Genomic DNA, 4,595 nt, shown 5'->3' with positions numbered 1-4,595 from the left:
CCTTCTACTCTATTTCCATGAATTCAATTGTTTTGATTTTTAGATCCCATGAACAAATGAGAACATGTGATGTTTATCTTTCTGTGCCTGGCTTATTTCACTTAATGTAATGATCTCCATTACCATCCATGTTGTTGCAAATGGCTGGATCTCATTCTTTTTTGACTGAATAGTACTCCATTGTGTATAAGCACCACCTTTTGTTTATTCACTCACTTGTTGGTGAACACTTAGATTGCTTCTAAATCTTGACTATTGTGAACAGTGCTGCAACAAACATGGGAGTGCAGATACCACTTTGATATACTGATTTTCTATCTTTTCAATATATACCCAGCCATGGGATTACTGGATCATATGGTAGCTCAATTTTTAGTTTTTCTGAGGAAACTTCAAACTGTTCTCCATAGTGGTTGTACTAATTTACATTTCCAAAAACAGTGTGTGAAGATTCCCGTTTATCTACATCTTCATCATCATTTCTTATTGCCTGTCTCTTGGATATAAGCCGTTTTAACCAGCATGAGATGATATCTCATTGTAGTTTTGGTTTGCATTTCTCTGATGATCAATGATGTTGAGCGCCTTTTCATATGCCTGTTTCCTATTCGTATGTCTTCTTTTGAGAAATGCCTATTCAAATCTTTTGCCCATTTTTTGATTGGGTTATTACATTTTTTCCTGTAGAGTTGTTTGAGCTTCTTATACATTCTGTTTTTTAATCTCTTGTCAGATGAGTAGTTTGCAAATATTTTCTCCTATTTGTGGGTTGTTTGTTCACTTTGTTGATTATGTCCCTCATTGTGTGAAGCTTTTGAACTCGTTGTGCTCCCATTTGTCCATTTTTGTCTTGGTTGCCTGTGCTTGTAGGGTATTACTCAAGAAATATTTGTCCACAACAATGTCCTGGAGAGTTTCCCTAATGTTTTCTTGTAGTTATTTCATAGTTTGAGGTCGTAGGTTTAAGTCTTTAATCTATTTTTATTTGATTTTTATATGATGAGAGATAGGGGTCTAGTTTCATTCTCCTGCATATGAATATTCAGTTTCCCCATCATCATTTATTGAAGAGAATATCTTTTCCCTACTGTATATTCTTGGCCTCTTTGTTGAAAACGAGTTCACTGTAGGTGTGTGGATTTATTTCTGGGTTCTCTATTCTGTTCCATTGGTCTGTGTGCCTGATTTTATGCCAGTACCGTGCTGTTTTGGTTGCTATGGTTCTGTAGAATAATTTGAAGTCAAGTAATGTGACTCCTCCAGTTTTTTTCTTTTTGCTTATGATAGCTCAGGGTATTCTGGGTCTTTTGCAGTTCCACATAAATTTTAGGATTGTTTTTTCTATTTCTGTGAAGAATGTAATTGGTATTTTGATAGAGGTTAAATTGAATCTGTAGATTGCTTTGGGTAGTATAGACATTTAAGCAATATGTATTCCTCTAATCCATGAATATGGAATATTTTTCTTTCCCTCTTCTGTTTGTTTTCAACAGTGTTTTATAGTTTTCATTATAGAGATCTTTTACTTCTTTGGTTAAATTAATTCCTAGCTATTTAATTTTATTTGTGACTATTACAAATGGGATTACTTTCTAAAATTTCTTTTTCATATTGTTCACTGTTGGCACATAAAAATGCTACTAATTTTTGTATGTTGATTTTGTATTCTGCAACTTTACTGAATTGGTTTATCAGTTCTCATTGTTTTTTGGTGGAGTATTTAGGCTTTTCTATATATAATATATCATCTGCAAACAAGAATAATTTTAATTCTTCTTTTCCAATTTGGATGCCCTTTATTCCTTTCTTTTGTCTGATGGCTTTAGCTAGGACTTCTAGTACTATGTTGAATAACAGTGGTGATAGTGGGCATCCTTGTCATGTTCCAGGTCTTAGAGAAGAGGCTTTCAGTTTTTTCCACTCAGTATGATACTAGCTGTGGGTGTGTCATATATGGCTTTTGTTATGTTAAGGTATGTTCCTTCTATACCCACTTTTTTATCATAAAGGGATGTTAAATTTTATCAAATTTCTTTTCACCATCACTTGAAATAATCATATGGTTTTTATCCTTCATTCTGTTGATATGATGTGTCACATTGATTGATCTGCATATGGTGAATCATTCTTGCATCCCAGGAATAAATCCCATTTGATCATGATGAATGATCTTTCTAATGTATTGTTGAGTTCAGTTTGCTAGTATTTTGCTGAGGATTTTTGCATCAGTATTCATCAGAGATGTTGGACTGTAGTTTACTTTTTTTGTCTTAATGTGTCTTTGTCTGATTTTGGTATTGGAGTAATGCTGGCCTCATAGAATGAGCTTGGATATATTCTCTCCTCCTGAATATTTCAGAATATTTTGAGTAGGATTAGTATTAATTCTTCTTTAAAGGTTTGATAGAGTTCATTAGTGAAACCATGAGGTGCTGGGGTTTTCTTTACTGGGAGACCTTTGGGAGACTTTTTTTTTTATTTTTTTGAGTCAGGGTCTCGCTCTGTCACCCAGGCTGGAGTGCAGTGGTGTGATCTCAGCTCACTGCAACCTCTGCCTCCTGGGTTCAAGTGATTCTTGTGCCCCAGCTTCCCAGATGGCTGGGATTACAGGTGCCCACCTCCCAAAGTGTTGGGATTACAGACATGAGCCACTGCGCCTGGTCACTGGGAGACTTTTGTTTTTCTTTTTTTGAGACAGAGTCTTGCTCCATCACCTGGCCTGGAGGGCAGTGGTGTGATCTCAGCTCACTACAACCTCCGCCTCCTGGGTTCAAGCAATTCTCCTGCCTCAGCCTCCAGAGTAGCTGGGACAACATGCACATGCCACCACACCCGGCTACTTTTGTATTTTTTTTTTTAACTTTTTAAAATTATTATACTTTAAGTTTTAGGGTATATGTGCACAACGTGCAGGTTTGTTACATATGTATACATGTGCCATGTAGGTGTGCTGCACCCATTAACTCATCATTTACATTAGGTATATCTCCTAATGCTATCCTTCCCCCCTCCCCCCACCCCACAACAGGCCCCAGTGTGTGATATTCCCCTTCCTGTGTCCAAGTGTTCTCATTGTTCAATTCCCACCTATGAGTGAGAACATGTGGTGTGTGGTTTTTTATCCTCGTGATAGTTTGCTGAGAATGATGGTTTCCAGTTTCATCCATGTCCCTACAAAGGACATGAACTCATCATTTTTTATGGCTGCATAGCATTCCATGGTGTATATGTGCCACATTTTCTTAATCCAGTCTGTCATTGTTGGACATTTGGGTTGGTTCCAAGTCTTTGCTATTGTGAATAGTGGTGCAGCAAACTTACATGTGCATGTGTCTTTATAGCAGCATGATTTATAGTCCTTTGGGTATATACCCAGTAATGGGATGGCTGGGTCAAATGGTATTTCTAGTTCTAGATCCCTGAGGAATCGCCACACTGTCTTCCACAATGGTTGAACTAGTTTACAGTCCCACCAACAGTGTAAAAGTGTTCCTATTTCTCCGCGTCCTCTCCAGCACCTGTTGTTTCCTGACTTTTTAATGATCGCCATTGTAACTGATGTGAGATGGTATCTCATTGTGGTTTTGATTTGCATTTCTCTGATGGCCAGTGGAATGATGAGCATTTTTTCATGTGTCTTTTGGCTGCATAAATGTCTTCTTTTGAGAAGTGTCTGTTCATATCCTTCACCCACTTTTTGATGGGGTTGTTTCTTTTTTCCTTGTAAATTTGTTTGAGTTCTTTTTAGATTCTAGATATTAGCCCTTTGTCAGATGAGTAGATTGCAAAAATTTTCTCCCGTTCTGTAGGTTGCCTGTTCACTCTGATGGTAGTTTCTTTTGCTGTGCAGAAGCTCTTTAGTTTAATTAGATCCCATTTGTCAATTTTGGCTTTTGTTGCCATTGCTTTTGGTGTTTTGGACATGAAGTCCTTGCCCATGCCTATGTCCTGAATGGTATTGTCTAGGTTTTCTTCTAGGGTTTTTATGGTTTTAGGTCTAACCTGCAAGTCTTTAATCCATCTTGAATTAATTTTTGTATAAGGTGTAAGGAAGGGATCCAGTTTCAGATTTCTACATATGGCTAGCCAGTTTTCCCAGGACCATTTATTAAATAGAGAATCCTTTCCCCATTTCTTGTTTTTGTCAGGTTTGTCAAAGATCAGATAGTTGTAGTTATGTGGCATTATTTGTGAGGGCTCTATTCTGTTCCATTGGTCTACATCTGTGTTTTGGTACCGGTATCATGCTGTTTTGTTTACTGTAGCCTTGTAATATAGTTTGAAGTCAGGTAGCATGATGCCTCCAGCTTTGTTCTTTTGGCTTAGGATTGACTTGGCAATGTGGGCTCTTTTTTGGTTCCATATGAACTTTAAAGTAGTTTTTTCCAATTCTGTGAAGAAAGTCATTGGTTGCTTGATGGGGATGGCATTGAATCTATAAATTATCTTGGGCAGTATGGCCATTTTCATGATATTGATTCTTCCTACCCATGAGCATGGAATGTTCTTCCATTTGTTTGTATCCTCTTTTATTTCCTTGAGCAGTGGTTTGTAGTTCTCCTTGAAGAGGTCCTTCACATCCCTTGTAAGTTGGA

Source organism: Homo sapiens, chromosome 5, assembly GCF_000001405.40.
Source record: "Homo sapiens chromosome 5, GRCh38.p14 Primary Assembly".
In the NCBI taxonomy this organism is placed as follows: Eukaryota; Metazoa; Chordata; class Mammalia; order Primates; family Hominidae; genus Homo; species Homo sapiens.
The sequence above is the reverse complement of the archived record's forward strand: the minus strand, read 5'-3'. Positions refer to the sequence as shown.